This window comes from Homo sapiens, chromosome 5, assembly GCF_000001405.40.
Source record: "Homo sapiens chromosome 5, GRCh38.p14 Primary Assembly".
Lineage (NCBI taxonomy): Eukaryota > Metazoa > Chordata > Mammalia > Primates > Hominidae > Homo > Homo sapiens.
In genome coordinates, this window is record NC_000005.10 from 1,522,961 (window position 1) to 1,548,401 (window position 25,441).

Sequence of the window (25,441 nt, forward strand, 5' to 3'; positions counted from 1 at the left end):
CATCGCAGGATCTCAGCAAACCGTTCCCTCCCACGTGGCAGCCCAGGTTGCATAAAGTTGATTCGGGTCAGACCAGCCCCGAGAAAGCATCCCTTACAACAGGAGCGAAGCATGCACCCCAGAAGGCAACGTGCGGCCGCAGAGCAGGGAGACCCGTGCGCCTACAGGGGACCCTACAGGGGACCCGCACCGCCCGCGCGCCCTGTCCCGGGCACCACCAGGCCCCGCACACGAGGCTCACCCAGAGCCGCGGTGCCCTCCCGCCCGCGGGCCGCGTCCAGGCAAAGCCGCTCCGGAGTCCCCGGGCTGCGCGCAGGGCCTGCCAAGGCGGGCGGGGCCCGGACCAGGGACGAGCGCGGGGACCGGCGATGCGGGTCCAGCCTCCCGCGGGAGCCGAGGTCGGGGCTCTGGGAGGCAGAGAAAGGGTTGTGGGCCCGGTTCAGGGTGCAGGGGTCTGGGGGGAGGAGCAGAACGCGGGGCGGGGATGGGAAGCGGGGACCCCGAGGAAGGCGCTGAGGGACCAGGATGCGCGTGCGGGCGGCGGGAAGCCGGCGCCGAGACCGAGGCATCGGGTGCGGGCGGCGGGGACGCGAACTGAGGGGCGGCCGCGGGGAGGGAAGGCGCCGCGGCTCGCAGGGCCGCGCCGCGCCCCAGGCCCCCTCCCCGGCCCCTCCTCGGCCGCGCCTCCCTGGCCCCAGCATCCCTGGCGTCCGCGCCGGCTCCCGGGGCCGCGCGCCCTGGGCACCCACCTGGGCCTTCTGCAGGGCGCTGAGGCGCAGCTCGTGCACGAAGGGGTTCCGCCCCGGGGGCGCCAGCAGCCGAGCGTCGCTGGCCCCTGCGCTGGAGGCAGGGGCGGCCCGGGGTCCGCATCCCCGCAGCCTCATGGCCGCGCCGTCCCGCGGCGAGCGCAGCCGAGCTGCCTGGGGCGCCGAGCGGGGCCGGGGCTAGCTGGGCGCGGGTCTCGGGGCGCGGGCCGAGGATGCGCGGCGGCTGGAGCGGGCCGGGCGCGCAGGCGCGGGAGGTGACGTGGGCGGAGCGGGAGCGCCGGCCGGGGCGGGGCGTCCCTGGAAGCCTCGCCTCCCGCCGGCCGGCAGGGGCGGCACCAGCCGGAGTTCCGCTACCTGGTGGTTTCTCTGGGGTCTGTGGGGGGCCGGGGCCGCTGGGGACCGGGGGCGCCTCCTGCAGCCACTGGAGCACAGGGATCCCCGGCAGGGTCTGCGCCAGGAGAAAGGGAGGTCCCCCGGGCCCGCGAGGCTGCCACGTCGTCCCCTTCCGCCGCTCGGCCCGCCTGCTCGCGGGGAGGGAGGAAGGGGCGGGCACGCGTCCAGCTTACGCGCAAGGCGGGCCAGGCCCTGGGTGCCGAGCCCCGGGCTGTTCCGGCGAAGGCCCCACGCCATTCTTCTTATTCGTTGGGCTCCTAGCTCGCACCGGCGACCCTGGAAGCTGCCCCGGGCTGAGGGAGCTTCTTCCAGCCGCGCCTCAGCCCAGGCGACTCCCGCCTGAGGTCCACTCGACCTTAGGACCCCCCAGACCTCGGGATCCCCTCAGATCTCAGGACCCCTCAAGCCTCAGGACCCCCTCAGACCTCAGGACCCCTCCGATCTCAGGACCTCTCAGGCCTCAGGCCCCGCAGGGATGGCCCAGGCAGGAGGCGCACATAGGGGCCCTGACTGTCCGTGCTGGTTGTGCAGGGGCTGCGATGAGATCCCAGCGCTTTCTCACCCGTAGCTGCTTTGGCTCGGGCATTGCCCTTGTGGTGCTCAGGAGCCGTGTGAGGAGCCCCAGGGTGGGGCCCATAATTAGCCGGAGCGAGAGTAGGATGGGCTCCTGCCTCCGGGTGAACACGCTTGGATTTCAGAACTCACGCAGGCCTTCGGTCACAGTGCTCACGGCTTCCTCACCCCGGCTGGCCCTGTTGGTTCCTTCATGGCCAACGGACCTCACCCAGACAGAGCCGGTTTGGGCCACCTGGCCAACCCCCCAGGGTCCTGGCTCCTGGGGATGTCACTGCTGTGTTGGCCCCAGCTGGGCCCCATCCTCAGCAGACGCCAGGGAGTGCCCCGACCCCTCCAATGACCCTGCCTGCGCCCTTGTGGACCTCATAGTGCAGCGGGCTGGCAGAGACCCTTCTGTGTCTGAGACCGGGGTGAGGGCCAGGGGTCTGTGCCATCCACATATCATGCACAGAGAAGGCCCCGGCAGGCCAGACCCGCTGCATGGCCTTATTCCTGCCCCATAAGAGTCCCAGCCCATATTCCTGCCCCATAAGAGTCCCAGCCCATGCCTAGCAGCAGCACCTGTCCCAAGTGCCACACCCACGGGGATGGGGTGAGCCCTGTGTGCTGGTGGGCATTGGTGGCTCTGTGGCCCAGCCACCAGCGTTGCACCCACCTCCTGGGCTTTTAGTGGCCACTTGCTCTGATCCCCAAAACCAGAGCCCAGCACCCGAGGCCACCCAAGGCTCCTCACCGAACTGATCATCAAGAAAGCCCAGGACACAAAGCCTGCCAGCCACAGGGCAGCACCTGCACCCCAGCGATCCAGGCGGCCCCACCTGCTGCCTGAGTGCTCTGGAGAGGAGGGGCCCTAGGGTGTCCCAGTCCTGGGATGAGAGCAGCCTCAGGACTGGACTTGGAGAGCCATGAAAGTGGGGTCCTCCCAGAAGCACAGGCCAGGAAGCGGTGTGTGGCGGAGGGGAAACCTGCTGGAGATGGTGCAGAGCCAGATTCAATGGGGAGAGCTGCCAGAGAGTCATGGCTGTGTCCCCAGAAGATGCAAAAGTCCTAACCCACAGCACCTGTGGCCGCGACCTTATTTGGAAACAGGGTCTTTGCAGATGATCAGGTTAAGAGGAAGTCATTAGGGTGGGCCCTAGTCTGAAATGGCTTGTGTCCCTATAGAGAGGGAGATTCGGTCTCAGAGACAGACACAGAGAGAGCTCCATGGGAAGGCCAGGGTTCTGCTGCTACAGGCAAGCAGTTCCCAGGAGCTGGAGAGGCCTGGAGCAGGTCCTCTCTAGTGCTCTCAGAGGGAGCCTAGGCCTAGGGTGCCATGATCGCAGGCTTCTGGCCTCCAGACTGGGAGAGAATAAATTCCTTCTGCTTTAACCTGCAGAGTGCAAAGTGAGTTGGAACCCAGGGAAGGAGGTGGGGAGGCTGGGGGAAGAACCTCATACTGCCCGGCAATCTAAGCAGGGTCAGCAGGTTGTCCTTGAGCCAAGGTCGGTGGAAAGAGGAGTCCCTCTCCCAGAGGGGTCTTAGGTGGAGCCACTGTGGGCAGCGTGGCCTTGGTGTAGAAGCTCAGTGGATCCTTGGGTCACAGGCACCATGTGGAGGAGGCGCAGAGGCCCAGCTCCGGGGTCAGTACACAAGGGGGCACAGCTGGGAGGGTGGGTGTGACAGGGCCAAGGGCTGTGCAGAGCAGGGGGCAGGACTGGGGCACACTCGTCCTCACCAAGCAGAACCCAAGAAGGCCCCAGAGAGCGGCCAAGGAGCGGAGGTCCCCAGAGGGGCTGAGTCCACGGAACTGCCCCATCCAGGAGGACTGGCCAGGAGAGAACTGGGAAGGCCAGCCAGTGGTAGTAGCAAGGGTGGAGACCACCACCCTGCAGGGTGCTGTGGAGTGGGCAGGAGTTACAGAGGTTCTTTCCCAGCTACCTGAGAAAGGAGGAAGCGTGATGGGCAGGAGGAGGAAAATGGATGCTTGGCGGGAGGCTGGGATCCAGGGCAGCAGCTCAAGGAAGGGGCCCAGGACATGTTCCTGGGTGGAAGGCAACAGGCCAGCCTCACAGGAGACGTTGAAAACCCCTGTGAGAGGGGGTGTCATGGGCCCATCTCAGTCTGGAAGGATTCTGCGCTCAGAGGAAGGAAAGGCCTGGGGCCCGGAGCGGGGACTCCTTCTCTGCTGCAGCTGGAAGGGGTTGGATGGTCCACAGGGCACGTGCCCAGGGGGTGGGGAGCTGGGGCACTCTTGTGTGTGGGAGTCAGTTTTCTCCTGGGGACTGCGAGGGGTGGGGGAGAGGGGCTGCTTATGGGGAAATCAGCGCAAGCGTGGAGGAGCAGCAAGGAAATTCCTCCACCCACACTGGGCCTTCACACTTAGGCTTTGGTTCTGCTATGTAATGGAACGTTCTTAAGACCTGGAGGGTCTGGAAGCTTGACTAAGAGAAGTTGGTCTTGGGTGGGGAGGTATAAGCAGTTTTCTCTGTCTAGCAGGGGAAACATGAGTTTCTCATTAGGACTTAGTTTTGGGAAAACCACCCTAAGGGCCCTTTAGCTACAAAGGGAGCCCCCACTGTGGTTCTCAGGAACCTCCTGGAAGCCCCCCACAGCTCCCTGGGGCTGGTAACCACACCCCTGAGGCTTCTTGCTCTGGTTTTGTCTCTGTTTTAAGAGTGTAAGCTCACAGAGAAGTGTTTCCTATACTCCAAGTGCATTGAGAACACAAGGTACCTGCTTGTTCTGGTAAGGCTGAGTATTTTTGTTTTGTTTGTTTAATTTTTGAATTTTAGAGTTATCTATAGGATAGAAAAAGATATTCTCCTTCATTTTCTACTAACATCTTTTTTCAGTTCTGCCTTTCATGGTTGCATTTTATTCTATTTGAAGATTTTTTTCTCTGCATGGAGACCTGATATTCTCAACACCACGTATCAATCACAGACTCCCACTTGTGGGTCCACTTCCAGCATGAACAGAAAGAAGGGTTCCTGAAGCTCCTTCTGGCTGCCCCATCTCACCCATTGGTCCGTGTACTCCTTTACTCCCGTCTCACCCGCCGGTCCGCGTACTCCTTTACTCCTGTCTCACACCTTTCAACCGTCTGCCTTAGTAACTGTAGAGGGGGTTCCTTCCTGTTGGCGCTTCTTCCCAAGAATTGTAGTAGGAATTCAGGGAATTTTATTTTTCCATCCAAATTTTGGAAGCAGTTGTCCCCATTGCTAAAAATTCCCGCTGGAAGCTTCCTTTTGAATCACATTAATTGTACAGGGTACTTCAGTAAGAATGTTACTTCATTCTTACTGTTCATTCTCCCTGTTCCCTAAGAATGTTACTTCAGTAAGAGCTGGCTGGTCCTGGGAGGGGCCCTCGAAGGGCCAGCAAGGCTCCAAGGCTCCAAGGCTTCAAAGCACTAGAAAATACAAAAAAAAAATTTTTTAAATGGATGATGTGGCATGGACACTTTATAATTTTGAGAACGATTTTTCACCAACATGGTTATTCTACCATTTATTTAGATGTTCTTTCATGCCCTTTGATAGCATTTTAAATTTTTCTACATAAAGATTCTGTATTTTTGTTAATTCCTTGATGCTTCATACTTCTGCAGTGATGTAATAATCGTTTCAAAAATTACTCTTGGGCCGGGCGCGGTGGCTCATGCCTGTAATCTCAGCACTTTGGGACGCCGAGGTGGGCGGATCATCTGAGGTCAGGAGTTCGAGACCAGCCTGGCCAACATGGCAAAACCCCATCTCTACTAAAAATATGACAATTAGCCAGGTGTGGTGGCACACGCCTGTAGTCCCAGCTACCCGGGAGGCTGAGGCAGGAGGATTGCTTGAACCTGGGAGACAGAGGTTGCAGTGAGCCAAGATCACGCCACTGTACTCCAGCCTGGGCAAGAACAGAGCGAGACTCTCTTTCAAAAAAAAAAATTACTCTTGACAGTATGGATTATATGGAGAACCACTACTGCTTGTGTAGAGGTTGTATGAAGACAGACCCCAGGGTACAAGAGGACCTGTGGATGTTCCAGATGAGGAGTGCACAGCCCCAGAGTGAGGGACTCCATCATGTACAATGGATGGACTTCCTATTCAACCCACAATCATGACAAACAGAAAATTGTGGTGGTTTTCAGTCACTACAGACTGAGATGGTTTGTTAAGCAGTGATAGTGTCTTTCAAAGAGCAGATATTTTAAATTTTGATGAAGTCCAATTTATCAGCGTTTTCTTTTAGGGATCATGGTTTTGGTATCCTCTTTTATAAATATTTACCTGCATCAAGGTCATTCAGATTTTCTTACTTCAGAAGTTTTACAGTTTTGGCTTTACCATTTAGGTCTGTATTCCATTTCAAGTTGACATTTGTACACGGCATAAAGTAAAGTGGAGGCAGAGGTTTTTTAGTTTCAAATGTTTTCGTCTGAATATTCAACTGTTTCGGCACCATTTGTTGAAGAGAATATTCTTTCTCCATTGAACTACCTTGACAACTTTGTAAAAAAATTAAGTGGCCATATATGTATAGTTGAGTCTATTCCTGGACTCTGTATTTTGTTCCATGGATCTGTACATCTGCAACTGCCAACATCACACTATACTGATTACTAAAGCTTTATATTAGTCTTGAAATTAGACTGCACTGCACTGGAGTGCAGTGGCCCGATCTCGGCTCACTGCAGACTCCGCCTCCTGAGTTCAAGCGATTCTCCTGTCTCAGCCTTCGGAGTAGCTGGGACTACAGGCATGCACCAGCACGCCCAGCTAATTTTTATATTTTTTAGTAGAGACGGGGTTTCACCATGTTGGCCAGGCTGGTCTCGAACTCCTGACCTCAGGTAATCTGCCCGCCTTGGCCTCCCAAAGTGCTGGGATGACAGGTGTGAGCCACCATGCCCAGCCAAAATTTTAGAATCATTTTGTCAAGAAACTGAAGTATCCAGGAACAAACAAACAAAAGGTTGGTGGGATTTTTAATGAGATTGTGTTGAATCTATTGATCAATTTGGGAAAATTGCCATCTTAGCAATATTGAGTTATCCATCCATGAGCATGGTATACAGATCATTTATTTAGGTTTTCTTTAATTTCCCTCAGCAATGTTTTATAATTTTCACTGCATAGGTCTTACATAGGTTTTCGAATTCTGTTCCTATTTCATGTTTTGATGCTGTTATAAATGATACTGCTTCTTAATTTCAATTTCCAGAAGTGTGTTGCTCGTATATAGAACTACAACTGATTTTATGTATTTACTTTGTAGGCATTAACCTTGCTAAATTCATTTATTAGTTCTAGTGACTTTTTTTGTAGATTCTTTAGGATTTTCCCCATTTCACAATCATAATACCTGTAAATAAGGAGCTTTATTTCTTCCTTCACCAGCAACACGTATGCCTTTCGTTGTTTGCATTTCCTCTTGTTCCACTGACTGTGACATCCTCTACAGAATGTTGGACAGAGTGCTGAGACTGGGCATCTTGTCTTGTTAACAATCTTGGGGATTGTTAGTACCCAGTGCCCAGTCTTGACATGAGCTGTGGGTTTTCACAGATGCCCTGAAAAAGGATGAGGGTGTTCCCTTCTATTGCTAGTTTACTGAGTAGTTTTTATCATTTTGGCCAAAAAGCTTGCTCGCGTCTATTGAGATTATCTTAAAATTTTCTTCTTAATCCTGTGAATATGGTGAATTGAATTGGTTCATATTCTGATTTTAAACCAACCTTGTTTTTCTGGATAGGCCTCACTTAACCATACTACACGATTGATTTATTACCGAATTTAAATTGATAAATTTATGTTAAAGATGTTTGTGTCTATGTTCATAAGAAATATTGGCCGTAGTTTCCCTTTCTTATAATGTCTTTGCCTGATTTCTAATGAGGATAATACTGTCTTTAAAACATGAGTTAGGAAGTATTCCAAATTCTCTATTTCTAAGTAAAGAGTGAGTAGGGTTGGTATTATATCTTCCTTAAATGTTTGTTAGAGTTCATCAGGGAAGCTATCTGGAATGAGAATTTTCTTTTTCAGAAAGATTTAAAGATTATGAATTTGAGTGCTTCATTAGATAGGTGTTATTCATCTTTTCTATTTCTTCCATCTAAAAACCTAAATTTTTTTAGTAATTTAGATATTTCCAGGAATTTGTCCGTTTTATCTAAGTTATTGATTTATTGGCATAAAATTGTTTATCATAATCCCTTTTATCCTTTTAATATCTATAGGATCTAGACTGATAGCCCTTGTTCACGTTTATAATATTGGTAATTTGTGTCTTCTTCCTTTTTCTTGATCACTTTGGCTAGAGGTGTATTTTGTTATTGATCTTTAGAAATAGCTGCCTTTTGAATTCATTGATTTTTTCCTATTATTTTTCTGTTTTCTATTTTTGTTGATTTCTGTCTTTATCATTTTCTTTTCTCTCCTTATTTTAGGTTTAATTTGCTCTTCTGTTCCTACTTCCCTAAGTAGGAAGTATAGACCATTGATTTTAGACCTGCCTCATGTAATACCACAAATTTCCTTCTAAGTTCTGCCATATCTACATTCCACAAATGGTGGCATGCTGATTTTTCATTTTCTTTCAGTTTTCAATGTACTTTCTCTTTTCCCATGTGGTTTCTTCTTTGATTACTGTGGCTTTTTTGTTATGTGTTAACTTCCAAATATTTGGAGAATTTCCAGTTAATTTTTATTATAACTTATTTGTGGTCACAATACATACTCTGTATGATTTCAATCCTTTTATAGTCTGTGTTTATGACTGTTCAGGTGTATATTATAAGAAAAGGTTCTCTTGTTTTTGTGTGGAGTGTTCTATGAATGCCAGTTGACTCCATTGGTTGATAGTTTTGTTCAAGCTTCCTGTATCTTTGTGCTTTTCTGTTACTGTTATATGAATGACTGAAAGACCAACTATAATTGTGGATTTGTTTATTTCACCTTTCAATACTGTTAGTCTTTGCTTCGTATATTTTGAAGCTATGTTATTAGGTACATATATATTTGAAATTATTCTGTCTTCCTGGTGAATCAACCTTTCCATCATTATGTTATGTCTCTCTTTTACTCTGGTAACATTTCTTTTTTTTTTTTTTCTTTTCTTTTTTTTTTTGGGACAGAGTCAGTCTATCGCCCAGGCTGGAGTGCAGTGGCACAATCTCGGCTTACTGCAACCTCCACCTCCTGGCTTCAAGTGATTCTCCTGCCTCAGCCTCCCGAGTAGCTGGGATTACAGGTGCGCACCACCATGCCCAGCTAATTTTTGTATTTTTAGTAGAGGTGGAGTTTCACCATGTTGGTCAGGCTGATCTTGAACTCCTGACCTTGTGATCCACCTGCCTCAGCCTCCCAAAGTGCTGGGATTACAGGTGTGAGCCACTGCGCCCAGCCTCTGGTAACATTTCTTGTTCTGAAGTCCACTTTGTCTGATATTCACATAGTCACTCCAGATTTCTTATGTTTAGTGTTTGCGTGGCATATTTTTCCATCCTTTTAATCTTTCTGTGGCTTTATATTTGAAGAAGGTTTCTTGTATACAGCATAGAGTTGGATCTTGCTTTATTATCTAATCTTAAAATCTTTGTCTTTTAATAGGCATGTTTAGATCATCCATATTTGATGTGTTAATATGGTTAGATTTAAATATACAACCTTGCTATTTGTTTTCTGTTGTCTTATCTGGTCTTTTGGTTTACTCTTTAACTGCAGTCTTCTAGATTAATTTAGTATTTTATCTCCACCATTGGCTCATCAGCTATACCTCTTTGTTTTAACTTTTTAGTATCTGCTATTAATATGTGTATTATTGGAAGACATTTTAAATAATACACTGCTTCACATATAATTGAAGACCTTTGCAGTATTACACTTCCACTTCCCTTTTCATCCTTTAAGCTAGTGCTTTCATACATTTCACTCTTATATATGCTGTAGGCCCCACAATATATAATTTTTTTGTCTTGAACAAAGTCTTTTCAAGCGATTTTAAAAAAATTAAGAGGTTTTTGTATTTATCTGTATGTTTGCCATTTCAAGCACTTTCATTGCTCTCTTGAGATTTGAGTTTCCTTCTTGTATCACTTTTCTGCCTTCTGAAGAAATTTTACTAATTTTTTTGCAGTGCAGAGCTGTTTGCAACTAATCTTTTGGATTTGATCTGTATAAAAAACTTTTTTATTTTACCTTCGTTTTGTAGGATTTTTCCCCTGATAAATATAGAATTCTAACTCAACAAGTTTTTATTTTGTTTGTATATTTATTTGCTTTTGAAATTTTGTCTTTATTACTGTTTTCCTGCAAATCAGTTATGATGTACCTGTGTGTGAGAAATCACTGAGCTTCTTTGATTTATGGGTTTATACTTTTAATAAAATTTAGAAAACTAATAGTCATTATTTCCTTTTTATCATGACTTTATTGAATTATAATTGATATATAATAAACCACATAAATTTAAAGTGGACATTTTGCTGTTTTTATATATACACACATATATATGTACACACACACACACACACACACACACACACCCTATGAAATTGCCACTGTATTTAAGATAGGAAACATAGTTATTATTCCCAAAAGCTTTTTCACTCCCTTTTGTAATCCCTACATCCCACCCCTACACATTTCATCCTCAGGCAACCCCTGTTCTACTTTCTGTTGCTGTAAGTTAGTTTGCATTTTCTGAAATTTTATACAAATAAAATCATACAGTTTCTTCTTTGGTTCCAATTATTTCACTCAGCATAACTATTTGAGGTTCACCTTTTTTTTTTGTTTTTATCAATCATTTACTTGTTTTTATTGCTGAATAGTATTCCATTGTATGGATATTTGTTTATCCATTCTCCTGTTGATAAATATTTGGGTTGTTTCTAGTTTGGAACTATTACAAATAAAGATGCTGTGAGCATTTGAGTACAAGTCTTGGTATGGATGTATGGCTTTCATTTTTGTTGGATAAATACTTATCAGTGGGAAGCTGGGTGATACATTTTGAAAGAAACGTTCAAACTCTTGTCCACAGGGGTTGGACCATTTTACATCCCCCAACCCAGACTGTGTATGAGAGTTTCAGTTCTTACATATTTTTGCCTACACTTAGTATGGTAAGACTTTTAGGTTTTAGGCATTCCAATACATATGCAGTGGCGTCTCGTTATGATTTTAATTTGCTTTCCCTTTGAACAATGACCTAGAACATCTGTGCATGTGCTCATTTATCATCCACAAATCTTCCTGATGTGTTCAAATATTTTTCTCATTACAGTATTTTTCTTTGTTTTATTATTAATGGGTCTAGAGAGTTTTTATATATTGTGAATACAATTTCTTTATAAGATAAGTGATTTGCAAATATTTTGTACCATTCTGTGGCTGCTTTTTCATTGTTTTAACAATATTTCTCAAAGAGAAGTTTTTAATTTTTTATGTTCAATTTACCTTTTTAAAAAACAATCATGCTTTTGATGTTATATCTAAAAATATCTCTGCTTAATTCAAGGTTATGAATAGTTTCTCTTGTTTTCTTCAAGAAGTTTTATAGTTTATATTTTATAATTAGGTCTATAATCCATTGTGAGTTAATTTTTACATGGTATGAGGTATAGATACGAGTTTTTTATTTTTATTTTTTTACCTATAGATGTAGAATTGTTCCATATCATTTGTTGTAAGACTATCCCTTCTCCACTGAATTGCCTTTGCAGCTTGGTGAAAAATTGATTGACCACATCTGTGTGCTTCTGTTTCTGGGCTGACTATTCATTGCATTGACCTATTTATTCATTTGGATGCAAGTCTTGACTACTGTAGTTTTATAATATGTCTTAAGATCCGGTGACATTAGTTCTTAACCTTAGTTTTTCTTTTTGAAAGTTGTTCCAGTTTTTTGAGGTCCTTTTGATTTCCATATGAATCTTAGAATCAGTTTGTCAATTACTACAGAAAAAATTCTGCAATTTTGAGATTATGTTGGCACCGCGCACAAATTTTGGGAGAAATAACATCTTGACAATATTGAGTCTTTTGACCCCCTGTCATGGTACATCTCTCAGTTCATCTAGGCTTTCTTTAATTTCTCTCAACAATGTTTTGTATTTTCCAATGTGTAAATCTTACCCATCTTTTGTCAGATTTATCATTAAATATTTAACATTTTGTGCTACTGAAAATGGTACTTAAAAATTTTTGTGAACTTGTGGAGAACGTATATTCTGCATCTGTCAGGTGTAGTGTTTTATAAATGTCAATTAGCTCAAGCTTGTGGATAATGATGTCATGTCTTCTATTTTTAACTGATATTTTTCTCTGATTGTCTTTACTGATGTGTTGTTCATATTGCGATATGGTTTACTTCTCCTAATTCTTTTTTCTTTTTACCTTTGCTTTTGGTGATTTGAAGCTCTGTTATTAGGTACACACATATTTAATTATGTCTTTCTGATGAGTTGAGCCTTTTAACATTATGAAATATCTCTATTTCTGGTAATACACTACGTTTTGAAGTCTGTTTTTTCCTGATATTAATAAACTCACTCTAGTCTTAGTTTTGCATGGTACATTTACTATCAACCTATTTGTGTCTTTATATTTAATATGGATCTTTTGTAGACAGTATATAGTTTTTTCTTGATTTTTCATTCTTTTTCTATCAGCCCATTTACCCCCATTCTTCATAGCACACTTTTAATGTGCCTTATATCTACATTGATTACCTACCCTATAAGAGAATATAATAATTTTTGCTTAGCCCTATGTATTTTAAAGAAATTAATAGTAAATTAATAATCACTTCATTTACTATTTCTGAAGCTCTTTATTCCTTTCTGAAGTTCCCTGTTTCCATAAGGTATAATATATGTTCATCCTGAAGAATTTCCTTTAACATTCCTTACAGTACCTGTCTGCTGCACGTGAATAGTTTTTTAAATCTGAGTTTTTAAATCTTTGTTTTGCTTTCACTATGGAAGGATATTTTAATGATTTTAGAAATCTAGGCTGACAGTTTATTTTCATTCCGCCCTTTAAAAATCTTGCTGCCCTGTCTTCTGGCATCTAAAAATGCTGGTGAGAAATCAGCAGTGATTTAAGTCTTCGTCTTGTGTGTGTCATGTGTCATTTTTACCTGGCTGTGCTCTCTTTTTATCTTGATCTTTGGTCTTTGGCAGCTTGATGTTAATCTTCCTAATTGTGGTTTTCTTAGAGTGTATCCTGCTTGTAGGTTTTCTGAGATCCTTGAATCTGAAAATGTACATCTTTCACTACACTTGGGGACTTACCTGCTACTATATCTTCGGATTTTTTTTCTGCTACTTTTTTTTCTCATTTCTTCTTCTGGAGCTCCTATTACAGATATATAAGCCTTTTGATATTGTCCCATAGGTTCCTGAGATTCTGTTCATTTTTTTAAAAATTTCCCTCTTTCTTCTTTATATTGAGCAATTTCAAATGATCTGTCTTCCATTTTAATTCATTTGTCATTGCCGTTCTGCTGTTAAGCCAACCCGGTACATTTGTATTTTCAGATACTGTATTTTTCAATGTTAGTTTCTCACTGGGTTCTTTTTAGTAGTTTCTTTTTCTCTGCTAATATGTCCCATCTTTTTATTTATTGTGAGTGTGTTTTCTTTGCTCTAAGCATAGCTGGAATGGCCGCCTTACAGCCCACATCTGCTGTCTCCGCACTGGCGCCTCAGGGCTTAGGTTGGTTGGTTGTCCTGTTCTTTGAGATTGGGTCACGTTTCTCTGTTCTTCATGTAGGACGTAGGAGCCTCTGGGGTGCACGTTCTCGCAGTGAATGCTGGTGGTTTCCCTTTGGTGCTGTCTGGTTGGGTCTGACTCACATGTGAACTCTGTCTCCTGGGTGGCAGCCTCTGTTTTGGTTCAGTTCAGTCCTTGGCTAAGCTGCTTTGGGTCACTCCACACCTGGTGATCCTGGTGTTAACCAGTGACGTGACATGGATAGAGCTTATGTACAGAATTTGGGGTTCCTCTTCATGTCTCTTCTCTTTTTAGGGCTCCCCCTTACCCTTCAGTGGATTTTCTGTCATAGTGTTTGCCACTCTGTGCTGTTCTAACCTCTGGCTCAAAGCTACAAAATGGGACAGTTCCCTGTGTATATCTCTTCTTACAAGGTTTACCTCCCATCCCCAATTTGCCAGCTTTTGTTCATTCTCCAAGATAGGTCATCAAAACATTAAAAAAAAAAAAAATTCTCAGGGATCTTGTCTAGTAGCAGCTTACACAGACACAGCCAAAGTGCAAAACTCCAAACTTATGTTTTTAAAAATGCCTGTTCTCTCTCCAGATATCTTAATGCACTTCACAAATGTTTAAAAAACGGAATCAACTGTAACTCTTTCACTTTCACTTTTAGTTCTCATCTAAGATAAACTACCATATAAATTGAGTTGAAAATCCACACTGATGAACTATTTAATAGGAAACAATATGGGTACTTGCCTACAATTTAGGCTTTTTCTGATTTCCAGAAAGGCTACAAATGAAAATGTTTGCTCAGACGTTTACTTTGTACCTGAAATAAGAAGGATGTGGTCCATCTGGTCACTGTGGCCCTGTTTGTGGTAGGGCTGGTGTCAGTATTCTAGCATCAGCGGTGACCTGGGTACTTTAACATGAATTATCTTCTTGTTTATTAACTCCATAAGGAAGTGTTAATCCCAGTTTTCAGAGGAGGACGTTGAATCTCTGCAGGTTGCACAACACACCCCCAGGTGTCGGAGGAGGCCAGGAACAGCACTGAGGTTGGAAACCAGGTTTATGCCTCGAAATCCTGTGCCCGTCCCACCACAGGCACTACCTCTCAAACTTCCAGGTTCTAAATTTGTTGGTTTTGTTCACTGTATGACAGTTGTAGATAGAAATTTAAAAAACGGAAAAGGTTGCCACAAAGCCCTCCTCATTTAATAAAATCTGTGACTCGAGTCTTCTCTTCTGAGCTGGGGTCGGAAGATGGCTCTTTCCCCAGGATGGAGCTCCTTTCAAGGGACACAGCTGCGGTTCCAGGGTCTGCCCGAGTGAGCCTCAGGGTTGGGGGATTCTGTAGTTTGTAGTTTGCTCGTGTTTGCATGGAACTCATGGCAGAGTTTTCCCTTGGCCCGTGTACTCGCTGCTTAGGGCTATCGTAACAAATTACCACAAAGCGGGGGTCTTAAAACAACAGAAATATGTCGTCTCACAGTTCTGGAGGTCAGAAGTCTGAGATCAAGGTGTGGGCAGGGCTGGTTTCTTGAGGGCTCTAAGGGACGGTCTGACCCAGGCCTCTCCCAGCTCCCGCCGCCCCGCCACCCGAGTTCGCGTGGCTGCTCTCCTGTGTCTGTGTCTACAGTTGCCCTCTTCTTTTTCGGATAAGGACCTCAGTCATGGGATTTAACGCCACCTTAAATCCAGGATGATCTCATCTCGAGATGCCCCTCCTAATTACAGCTACAAAGACCCTGTTTCCAAATAAGGTCACATTCACAGGTACCAGAAGTTAGGACTTGGACACATCTTTGTGGGGCCACTCCCCAACTCTACAGCCATCCAATCTCGTACAATTTGGGCAAAATCCATGACAGATGTTAGCGATGAAGTGTGGTCCCTGCTGGCTGTCCATGCCCCCTTTGCCACCTACTTCTCCTTGCTGTGGAGGGCAGAGCTAAGGCTCCCTCCTCGTGGCGCTGGGGAGTTCTGATGGCGGTCCAGGGCCCTCGCCACCATCACCTGAGCGCTCATGTTGCCCACACAGCCGGCCTCGCCGCCAAAGCCTTTCTCCCTCGGACTTCAGGTGGAGAGGCTGCTGCGGTCTCTCCCCCTCCCTCTGGGCTCTGGCCTCTCCTCCTTGTCTTGGCTGATGGCTCCCCCTCATCCAGCTCTGAATGTGGCTCCCTCCACGCCCCTTCCCTCTCTTCTCTGCACACCCTCGTCCTGTGTGCTCTGGACCACGCCTGTGCCTTACACACTGCTTGCCCATGGGTGACGCCTGCATCCGCGTCTGACCTCCTTCTGAGCTCAGATGCACACGTCTGGCAGTGATTTCATGCTTCCGCTTGGAGGTCTGTCTTAGTCTGCTCAGGCTGCTGAAGTAGAAGCCACCATAGGCTTGTGGCTTAAACAACAGACGCTTTTGCTCACAGTTCTAGAGCCTGGAAGTCCAAGCTCAAGGCATGGTAGATTTGCTGTCTGGTGAGGCTGTATCCTGGTTTATATACGGCGCCTTCTCCCTGTGTCCTCATGTGGTGAAAGGGGCGCGGGAGCTCTCTGGGTCTCTGTTATAAGGACACTCATCCTATTCATGAAGGATTAGGCACCGAATCACCTCCCAAAGTCCCTGCCTTCTAATAGCATCACCTTAGGGGTAAGAATTTCAGCGTAGGAATTGGTGGGGGAGGGGGGCGGTAAGCGGGGCACAGTTCAGTACATAGTGGGGTCTAACAGGCATTTCAAATCTACAGCATCCGTGGCTGCACTCCCATCATCCTTCCCAAGCCTACATCCCCTGCTCCCGGGACCACCCCAGGGAGGGCAGCCCATGCTGTGGCTGCTCAAGCCAAGACCTGGGTGCCCTCGGACTGCCCTGCCTCTGCCTCTCACCCTCACTCCCATTTACATTTCCTCATGGCCCAACCTTGTTTGAAAATGTAGGTTTTATTATTATTCAGGTATGGCAAGGCCAATGTGTCAGGAGATGATGCCCACTGACAAGAGAGTTTCTTCCCCACAGTGCCCAAGATGGGGGACTGGAGGGACAGCATACCACGCATGGCCACACAGGCCACACAGGGCCACATGGGGTCACACGGGGTCACACAGGGTCACACGGGGTCACAGAGTCACACAGGCCACACAGGGCCACACAAGCTACACAGGGCCACACAGGGCCATAGGGGGCCACACAGGGTCACACAGGGTCACACAGGGTCACACAGGGCCACACGGGGTCACACAGGGCCACACAGGGTCACACAGGGTCACACATGGGGTCACACAGGGCCACACGGGGTCACACAGGGCCACACAGGGTTACACAGGCCACACAGAGCCACACAGGGTCACACAGAGCCACACAGGGCCACACAGGGCCACACAGAGCCACACAGGGCCACACAGGGCCACACAGGGTCACACAGGGCCACACAGAGCCACACAGGGTCACACAGAGCCACACAGGGTCACACAGGGCCACACAGGGTCACACAGAGCCACACAGAGCCACACGGGGCCACACAGGGCCACACAGAGCCACACAGGGTCACACAGGGCCACACAGAGCCACACAGGGTCACACAGAGCCACACAGGGTCACACAGGGCCACACAGGGCCACACAGGGTCACACAGGGCCACACAGGGCCACACAGGGCCACACAGAGCCACACGGGGCCACACAGGGTCACACAGAGCCACACGGGGTCACACAGAGCCACACAGGGCCACACAGAGCCACACAGGGTCACACAGGGCCACACAGAGCCACACAGGGCCACACAGAGCCACACAGGGCCACACAGGGCCACACAGAGCCACACAGGGCCACACAGGGCTTCACGGGGCCATGTGGGAAGAACCCGTCAGGAGGCATTTCAGCTGGACAGGGCAAGCAGGCTTAGGGTTGGCTCACTGGATTAGTCTGTGGTTCCATGGGCTCCAGGGCACATGTAGAAGCTGCCCCCTGCTGTCCAATACCTGGCCCTGGGGTGGGCAGGGCAGGTGGAGAGCGGGAGGCAAGAGCACCCTGGCCTGTTTGGTTTCCACATGGAAAGTGATGTGGTTTGTCTGTGTCCCCACCCAAATCCCACCTTGAATTGTAATAATCCCCACATGTCAAGGGTGGGGCCAGGTGGAGATACTGAGTCATGGGGACAGCCTCCCCCATACTGTTCTCATGGTAGTGAATAAGTCTCACGAGATCTGATGGTTTTATGAATGGGAGTTCGCCTGTACAAACTCTCTTGCCTGCCGCCATGTAAGATAGGATTTTGCTCCTCGTTCGCCTTCCACCGTGTGTGAGGCCTCCTCAGCCACGTGGACCTCTTTAAACCATTAAACCTCTTTCCTGTGTAAATTACCCAGGCTCGGGCCTGTCTTTCTCAGCACATGAGAACAGACTAATATGGAAGGTGTGCTCACAGGTAAGCAGCTTCCTGACTCTAGGTGCTGGCCAGGCCTGGGAGAGGTGATGGCTCCAGGGTCAGCAAAGCCCCAGAGTCAAAGCTCGGAACATAAAGACGACTGGGACCCATTCCCTCCTCGCCACGCCAGCACCTCCTGCCTGGGGAATCTCTGGCTTCCTGGCTGGCCCTGGCTGTGCCCTGGTTTTTCTTCTCTGTGGCCAGGGGATCCTTCCGGACATAAGTGGGTGGATGGGGCTTCCTTGACTGGGGCCACCAGTGGCACCCACCTCTCCAGCAGGGAGATGCCTCTGGGCCTGGCTGCCACTGTGGCCCCTCATTCCTGACCCCTCTGCCTCATCCCTGCCCTTCCTGAGGGTCCTCCCTGCCCCCCAGGCTGCTGTGCTCTGGCCAGTGGGCTCTTGCCCCTGCTGTTCCTGCAGCCACTTCTTTGAGTCTTGACCCAAAAGTCTGGCAGACAAGCCCTGGGCCCTGCTGTGTGCACAGCTCTTGTGAGTCCACGCATCCTGCCTGCATCTTAGAGAAGGTTTCATTGCTTGGTATAGAGTAGTTTCCAAGGCATCTCGGTGAGTGAGTTAGACCATTTTATAGACAGGGAAACTGAGGCACAAGAGACTGACCCGGGTCATAGCCAGGACCAGTGAAGGAAGGTGGTGACCTCATTCCCAGTCTTTGGGGTCTTTCTTCTGGGCACTCATCCAGCGTCCCAGGTGGAGTGTGCCCTGTGACCGTCCATTTCTGCAGGTGACTTTCTAGAAGGAGGCTCTGGTTCATAACACTTGGTTCCCAGAAGAAACCATTTTTCTCAACTACGGTACATTTGACATCAAATAAGGATTTAGATACTTAACATTGTTTTTATATCCTATTAGAAATTCTGACTTCATTTACTATATTGTGATAAACCTTCAAAGCCCACGGTAGTAATTCTGGCAGCAGAGCTGGCAGGCTGAAACCGCTTCCATGGAGATGCATCTCACAGGGTCCCAAGTGATGTAAACAAAACTTGTGTAATGAACACAGCATCTCCCTCAGCGGCTGTGTCTGTCCCATTTTCTTTGACTTTAAATACATGATACTCTGTGGGAAGCATGAGCTGAAATAATGATCTCGTCAGTGGGTCTTTGTGAAAACTAAAAAGATTTTTGAAATCTAGAGGCACGCAGCTTTTTTTAGTATTTGAATGCATCTTTCTTCACACTTTGGGTTTGCAGAACAAATGTTTGCATGTAATTTTGCTTCCTAAAATGTCAAAAATAGCACAAATATGAAAACAAGTATTCTCAAAGAGTGATCTTTTATGGAAAGACTGCTTACAGTAACTCGTTCCAGTTGGCTTTGAAAAATGCTGCGTGGAATTATCTTCACATACTTGGGAACAGGGAGTGTAAGGGAAACCCCTGCCTCACCGTCTCAGGAGCATTGTGACGAGGGCCTCTTCCTTTCCTGGCCTCCCACAAGCCCCAGCATCTGTTGATTGAAAGAGGAAGGTGTATCTCCTATTTTAAAATCATGTATAATTTTATATTTTCTAAAACATAAGCATGGCTAATTGTATGATCGCTTATGTCATTTGTAAGGAATTCAGCATAAAAAAATTTTTCTCAGCTGGGCGCAGTGGCTCACGCCTGTAATCCCAGAACTTTGGGAGGCCGAGGCGGGCAGATCACGAGGTCAGGAGTTCGAGACCAGCCTGACCAACATGGTGAAACCCCCGTCTCTACTAAAAATGGAAAAATCAGCCAGGCATTGTGGCACACACCTGTAATCCCAGCTACTCAAGGAGAATGAGGCAGGAGAATCGCTTGAACCTGGGAGGCAGAGGTTGCAGTGAGCCGAGAGCTCACCATTGCACTCCAGCCTGGGCAGCAGAGCAAGACTGTCTCAAATATATATATATATATATTTTTTTTTTTTCTCAGAGTTGCAAAGACAGAGACCTCCTTTGGTTGAGAGGAGGGCAAGTTTCGAAAGGAGGAACTTTGCTGTGGGGAGGAGTCAGTGGCCAGGCCCCACAGAGTCTGACGGCCTCTCCTGGCATCCAGCCTCACCTCCTTCCTAATGATACAACCTGCATGTTTTAGCTGGATGTGTGGCTACCCAGGGTGAAGACTGTATTCCCAGCCTAGGTGTGGTCGTGTGACTAATTCCTGGCAGCACATTGGATATGATCCCAAGATTGTGGAGCTTCTGGGAAGTGCCCTTGAGTAACTTCCTGTTGGCTGGAAGGTAGCTGTGTTGGCTAGAGCTCCAGCATCCATCTTGGCCTATAAAACAACTTCAGGAAGGGAAATTAGGCCAGCAGCAACTGGGGAGAAGGAGTCTGGGTCCTGGACCTTTGGAAGGGCCCTCTCAGTTCTGGACTGGCTACCTCTGGCCTTATGAATGGGAGGGAGGAATGAATGGTGGGGGAATGAATAGGAGTGGGGAGTGAATGGGAGGGGGGAATGAATGGGGGGGAATGAATTGGAGGGGGAAATGAATGGGAGGGGGAATGAATGGGGGGAATGAATGGGGGGGAATGAATGGGGGGGGAAATGAATGGGAGGGGGAATGAATGGGAGGGGGAATGAATGGGAGGGGGAATGAATGGGAAGGGGAATGAATGGGAGGGGAGAATGAATGGGAGGGGGGAATGAATGGGAGCAGGGAATGAATGGGGGGAAATGAATGGGATGGGGGAATGAATGGGAGGCGGGAATGAATGGGAGGGGGAATGAATGGGAGGGGGGAGTGAATGGGAGGGGGGAGTGAATGGGAGGGGGAATGAAGTTCTATCTCATTTAGGTGATTATTGTTTTGGACATTTCTGCTACTTGGAGGTACAGCTGATTCTAATGGACCTGCAGGCTCCTGGAGACACTTGGACTGGAAAAGCAAAACCAAGGCCCATGACATCTATCTTTGCATATTGAAGTAGATTTAGAAAACCCTTTCGAATCCCTCTGAGTACTTTTATTTGCTGCTCCCTCTCAACCTCAACTTTGTTCCTCATCCCACTTTCTACTGGACATTTTGACCTGGCCCTTTGCCCTCCCTTCCCTTTGCCCTCCCTTCCTGCACGCTGCTGAGCTGTAGCTCTCTCGGGGGTGCCCAAAGACTCCAGCCCTCCCAGCCCCATCTCCCCACCCTCGCCTCAGCCCTTCCTCCTCACTGAGCCCCCGTGCCTAGCTGTCTGCTGACCGTGGGTGCTGCCTCACACTCCAAAGCCCATCTCCTCCTCAGGTCACCCCTTGGCATCCGACACCCCCAGAACCTTATTCACCTTCTCTGCAGGTCCAGAGCCCAGCAGAGCTCTATGCCATGGCAGGAGAGTGGGAGGCATTTCCTAAGAATGCTGCCTTTGGCTCTGAATTCCCAGGACATTTTGGTTGCATAATATTCATTGTCTGAGAAAAGAAAGAAAAGAGACTCATTTGGAGAATTAAAAAAATTATTGTAGAAAGATTTCATTTAATAAATCCTCACTCTCATTAGTATCTAAGTAGCCCTTTTACTGTCCTAAATAGATGCCAGGGCAGGAACCAGGGTGCAGAGGGCTCTGGCCCTGGCGGCAGCCTGGGACTCACATTGCTATAGGTGGGCCCAGAGGCTTCAGGGAGAAGCCTGTCCCCTTCTATCTCCCCTCTTCTCTTGTGGAGAAGCAGCTCCTTCCTGCCTGGGAGTCCCAGGACATCTTCGAGGAGGGGACATTTGAGAAGGATGGGGGAAGAGGCCAGGAGAAAAGCAGGGAGGGAGGAGGGAAACCCATCATCAGCTCTGGCCGAGGCCTGTCTTGTAAGACCCCAGGGCCAGGGCCAGGCCGGATGTGTACCAAGTCGGACCACGTGGAAGAGGCTTGAATGCGTGAGAAGGTGCCCTCTCCCTCCTTCCCTCCTTCCCTGTCCCCTTCTATCTCCCCCCTTCTCTGTGAGCAGGCATTGGCTCCTCAGAAGGGCCTCTCACTCAGTTGGATGGTGATGCATTCCCCACTCATGCCTGGAAGTAAGCGGGCGCAGCCACTGTGGATGAGTTGCCAGTGGAACCATGAGTGTTCCTGCGTGCGGCCTGCACCTGCACACACACCTGCACACACGGGCACCTATACACACACTTGTCCCTGTGTGCACATACCTACACCTGCACACACACCTCCAAACACACCTGCACCTCTACACACTTGGCCTGTGAACACACACCTGCACCTGCGCACACACCTGCACCTATACACACACTTGTCCCTGTGTGCACATACCTGCACCTGCACACACACCTCCAAACACACCTGCACCTCTACACACACTTGGCCCTGTGAACACACACCTGCACCTGCACACACACCTGCACACACGGGCACCTATACACACACTTGTCCCTGTGTGCACATACCTGCATCTGCACACACACCTCCAAACACACCTGCACACACATGTGAACCTCTACACATGCTTGGCCCTGTGAACACACACCTGCATTGGCACACACACCTGCACATGCACCTACATGCACCTGCACCTATATACAAATTTGCCCCAGTGAGCACACAACTGCACTTGCACACACATCTGCACACAAACTTCTGCACACACCTGCACACACCTGCACCTATACATACACGTCCCTGTGCACACACACCTAGAGCTATATACATACTTGCCCCTGTGCACTCACACCTGCACACACACCTGTACCTGTGCACACACCTGCACACATACCTACACACACCTGCATCTATACACACTTTCCCGTGTGTACACACACCTGCACCTGCACTCACACCTGCATGCACACCTGTACCTCTGCACACCACCTGCATGCACATCTGTACCTCTGCACACACCTGCACACATACCTACACACACACCTGCATCTATACACTTTCCCCTGTGTACACACACCCACACCTGCACTCACACCTGCACGCACACCTGTACCTCTGCACACACCTGCACACATACCTACACACACCTGCATCTATACACACACCTGCACCTGCACTCACACCTGCACGCACACCTGTTCCTCTGCACACAGCTATGTCACCCCACATGTGCACTCTCACCTAAGCTGGAGCAGCCCAGAGGGTTTGCTCATTTGCTCATTAAGTGGTTCTTGCTTGAGCAAACCGGGAAGTCATCTTGAGTGGAAGCACCTGGTCTCTGGTAACAGACGCTGAGAATCACCTGATTTGACCCTTCGACAGTGAGATGATTGTCAGAACAGAACCCTTGTGCATATTTTCAATATGAGTTGATGAGGCCAAGAGCTCTTATTGGATGGGAGGTTTATTTCATAAGCCACTTGATTTTAAAGACTCAACAGAGAGGACATATTTCTTAGTATACTGAGTAAGACATTAACATTTGTGTTTGAGGGAGGACATTTGAGCCAGGATTTTGCAAACATAATTGGTTTGCAGTCCTTGACTCCTTGGAGTGTTTGTGTCAGTTGGGATTGAAACGGCATGTATTTAACTTTATCAGTATGTTTTCAGAGTCATCTTCATTTAGAAAACGCATTGATAACCCAGAATGAACATATTTTTTGCAGTGATATTCTTTAAGCTGAAAATGAAATATTTGCTTCTACACCATTTAGTTGTGCCAGTCGCCTTTGATTTAGCAGACGATTTTGCTCTGGCTAAGTTGCTCTTTTAGACAGACGTTTATATGGGCGATGTTTTCCAGCAATGTGTTTAGCAATTCTCCTTTTCTCCATGTTCACATTTAAAGGGTTGTCTTAGACACCCATTTGCAGCCAACATGATCCCTAAGCTGGGACAAATGCAGCAAGTCAGGCCCTTGTGTTCAGGAAGTTACTCGTCGTGACCCAGGAAGGCAGTGACACAGGGAGTGACAGGGCTCTGGGCTCTGCCCTGTGATCTTGGGAAGTGACTCGGCTTTTCTGCCTCACCTTCCATCCTCTGCAAAGCAGGGGCGAGGTGGAACTTACCTGTAGGACCGTGGAGTCTGGAGGGCGCGCAGCTGTCCTGAGACCGGGCCTGGCCCACAGCGGGTGCTTACTCAATGCTGATGTCTCGGCACGTGCGTCATGTTCCGTTCTGGAGTTAGTCGTCTTTCATGAACACGCGGGAAATTTTGGGGTGGGCAGGGGCCCATCACCGGATCAAGGTAGGGTTTGACCGATGTGACTGGTTAGCTGGAAAACATTGATTATTTTATGGGGGTGAAGAACCAGCCACACTTTTTACAGTGTTGGATCTTAGATTGCAAACTGCGTTTTGTGAAAAGCTGGGAATTTCAGCTTCAGCTACTGATTAAATTACCACAAAAAAGCACTGCCAATTTAGGGTATTTCAGTAGAACTCTGGGTTTGAATATTTCTGATTTCTAGAGGAAGAGACAGCATGTTGCGTCTTGGACAAGTCAACACCTTCTCTTTGAGCAAATTATTTCTTCTATATTCACAGTTGATTCAGAATTAGATGGACCCAGCAACGATGTGTCCTCAGTTCTTCATTTTGACAGTCTGGGTTTGTTACTGCTCAGAGCGCACATGTGTTTCTCCGGACATACATCCCTCGCACATCTGCGCACTGACAGGACTTTAATGTATCAATGTGCACACATCGGGCCCTAGAACCGGAGGCTGTCCACTCTGCTCTGCGGCTACCCTTGCCCTTCAGGGTCTCTGGGGAGACAGTGACACCGTAGGGTGTGGGGCAGGCACCAGGACTCTGCAGCTAGAAAGGCCTGGGTTCAAACCCCCGTACTATTTTTACCACTGTGATAACTTTGGAAAGGGATTTCCATTTCTAAGCCTTGGCGTCTCCTCTATAGAAAGGGGTGAATAAGAAGACCTGTCTTCAGGGCTATTGGAAGAGCATCGTGGTAGAACGCTCTTAGTCAACAGTCACTGCCATCGTTAGCTCCCTAAGTGTGGGTCTCCTCTAACCTAAACACAAAATTCTGGTCTTTCTCCCTCACTGTGCCAGCAAAGGGAATGTACTCTTCACCACCCATCAGGTTTGAAGCTGTGGCTTCTTCTCATCCAGGAGTCTGCTTGGTGCTTGCGGCTGAACTCCTCCAGCATCCTTGTCAACACGGCCTCCTGACAGTGGTGCTCTCCAGAAACCAAGTGCGCTGGTGTTCTGCTGTCTTTTTCTTATTAACCATGAACTCAGAGAATGTTTCAGCAGTTGGTATCATGTCTTTCAAGGTGATGCTTACTTTTTTTTTTTTTTTTTTGAGATGGACTTTCGCTCTTGTTGCCCAGGCTGGAGTGCAATGGGGCGATCTCAGCTCACCGCAACCTCCACCTCCCGGGTTCAAGCGATTCTCCTGCCTCAGCCTCCCTAGTAGCTGGGATTACAGGCGCATGCCACAACACTCATCTAATTTTGTATTTTTAGTAGAGATGGGGTTTCTCCATGTTGGTCAGGCTGGTCTCGAACTCCTGACCTCAGGTGACCCACCCACCTCAGCCTCCCAAAGTGCTGGGATTACAGGCATGAGCCACCGCACCCGGCCAGCGATGCTTACTTTTATTAGAACACGTTAGCTGGCATCTGAGTGTCACAGGGATGCTGTGTGGCAGCCAGCCCGGTGCTTGAGTCACAGCTCAGCTCTGCTTCT

The 25,441-nt window shown here is 48.1% G+C and overlaps 1 protein-coding gene and 1 long non-coding RNA gene across 5 annotated transcripts in view, besides 5 other annotated features; both read right to left on the minus strand.

The window, feature by feature from the left end:
* LPCAT1 (lysophosphatidylcholine acyltransferase 1) overlaps positions 1–1,000 on the minus strand; it is a 62,534-nt gene extending 61,534 nt beyond the window's left edge. For both annotated transcript variants that reach the window (NM_024830.5, XM_005248373.4), the window contains exon 1: positions 750–1,000. In NM_024830.5, coding sequence (NP_079106.3) covers positions 750–884 — 135 coding nt within the window. In that variant the 5' untranslated portion in view covers positions 885–1,000. The remainder of the gene's footprint in view (positions 1–749) is intronic.
* Positions 188–387: a silencer, noted in NCBI's record as "silent region_15882". NCBI's record gives its function as "represses an Ori minimal core promoter by ATAC-STARR-seq in GM12878 lymphoblastoid cells {active_cell/tissue: GM12878}" and the evidence as "EXISTENCE:reporter gene assay evidence [ECO:0000049][PMID:35858748]".
* Positions 658–967: a silencer, noted in NCBI's record as "silent region_15883". NCBI's record gives its function as "represses an Ori minimal core promoter by ATAC-STARR-seq in GM12878 lymphoblastoid cells {active_cell/tissue: GM12878}" and the evidence as "EXISTENCE:reporter gene assay evidence [ECO:0000049][PMID:35858748]".
* Positions 988–1,387: a silencer, noted in NCBI's record as "silent region_15884". NCBI's record gives its function as "represses an Ori minimal core promoter by ATAC-STARR-seq in GM12878 lymphoblastoid cells {active_cell/tissue: GM12878}" and the evidence as "EXISTENCE:reporter gene assay evidence [ECO:0000049][PMID:35858748]".
* Positions 2,157–2,392: a transcriptional cis regulatory region, noted in NCBI's record as "candidate enhancer chr5.422 targeted for multiplex CRISPR interference". NCBI's record gives its function as "positively regulates LPCAT1 gene expression with high confidence in K562 cells {active_cell/tissue: K562}" and the evidence as "EXISTENCE:mutant phenotype evidence [ECO:0000015][PMID:30612741]".
* Positions 13,357–13,494: a silencer, noted in NCBI's record as "fragment chr5:1536432-1536569 (GRCh37/hg19 assembly coordinates)". NCBI's record gives its function as "represses an EF-1alpha promoter that drives an FKBP-Casp9 reporter gene in an ReSE screen in both phorbol 12-myristate 13-acetate-treated (for megakaryocytic differentiation) and untreated K562 erythroleukemia cells {active_cell/tissue: K562 | K562(+PMA)}" and the evidence as "EXISTENCE:reporter gene assay evidence [ECO:0000049][PMID:32094911]".
* Positions 19,146–25,439, minus strand: LOC124901161 (uncharacterized). Of its 3 annotated transcripts, none has more exons than XR_007059099.1 (4): positions 25,349–25,439; positions 23,799–24,005; positions 21,133–21,256; positions 19,146–19,337 (listed from the first exon to the last, which is right to left on the minus strand). It is a non-coding gene; the product is annotated as an uncharacterized LOC124901161 (long non-coding RNA). The 3 variants fall into 3 exon arrangements; XR_007059100.1 differs by lacking the exon at positions 19,146–19,337 and adding an exon at positions 19,752–20,134; XR_007059101.1 differs by lacking the exon at positions 19,146–19,337 and adding an exon at positions 19,752–20,145.
* Between the last annotated feature and the right edge of the window lie 2 nt (positions 25,440–25,441).